General features: G+C 38.0%; 1 annotated feature.

The window, feature by feature from the left end:
• Positions 546-647: a silencer, noted in NCBI's record as "fragment chrX:53045322-53045423 (GRCh37/hg19 assembly coordinates)". NCBI's record gives its function as "represses an EF-1alpha promoter that drives an FKBP-Casp9 reporter gene in an ReSE screen in phorbol 12-myristate 13-acetate-treated (for megakaryocytic differentiation) K562 erythroleukemia cells {active_cell/tissue: K562(+PMA)}" and the evidence as "EXISTENCE:reporter gene assay evidence [ECO:0000049][PMID:32094911]".

The following is an 876-nucleotide window of genomic DNA, read 5'->3' on the forward strand; positions in this document are numbered from 1 at the left end:
TTTTTGCAAATTGTATACAGATGCTCCTTGACTTGCAATAAGGTTACATCTCAATACATCCATTAAAAGTCAAAAATATCATAAGTTGGAAATGCATTTAATTCACCTAACCTACTGAACATCGTAGCTTAGCCTTGTCCACCTTAAACATGCTCAGAACACTTACGTTAGCCTATAGTTGGACAAAATCATCTAACACACAAAGCCTATTTTATAATAAAGTGTTGAATATCTCATGTAATTTATGGAATACTGCACTGAAAGTAAAAAACAGAATGATTGTATTCTACTGAACATGTATTGATTTTCCATAATTGTAAAATCAAAAAATCATAAGTTGAACCATTTTAAGTCGGGGACCGTTCTGTACCTGATATCTGTATTATAGAGAAAACACAACTCAATAATAAAAAGATAAATGACCTCATTTAAAAGTGGGCAAAATATATTAATAGACATTTCTCTAAAGAAAATATACAATGACCAATATGCACATGAAAAGATGCTCAACATCAACAGTCATCAAGGAAATGCAATAAAAACCACATGAGGCTGGGAGTGGTGGCTCACGCCTGTAATCCCAACATTTTGGAAGGCCGAGGTGGGCAAATCACCTGAGGTCAGGAGTTTGAGACCAGCCTGGCCAACATGGCAAAACCCCGTCTGTACTAAAAATATTTTAAAAATTAGCCAGGCGTGGTGGCGTGTGCCTGTAATCCCAGCTACTCAGGAGGCTGAGGCACGAGAATCACTTGAACTCAGGAGGCGGAAGTTGCAGTGAGCCAAAATTGTGCCACTGCACTCCAGCCTGGGTGACAGAGTGAGACTCTGTCTCAAAAAAACAAAAACAAACACCACATGAATTACCACTTCATG

Source organism: Homo sapiens, chromosome X (assembly GCF_000001405.40).
Source record: "Homo sapiens chromosome X, GRCh38.p14 Primary Assembly".
In the NCBI taxonomy this organism is placed as follows: domain Eukaryota; kingdom Metazoa; phylum Chordata; class Mammalia; order Primates; family Hominidae; genus Homo; species Homo sapiens.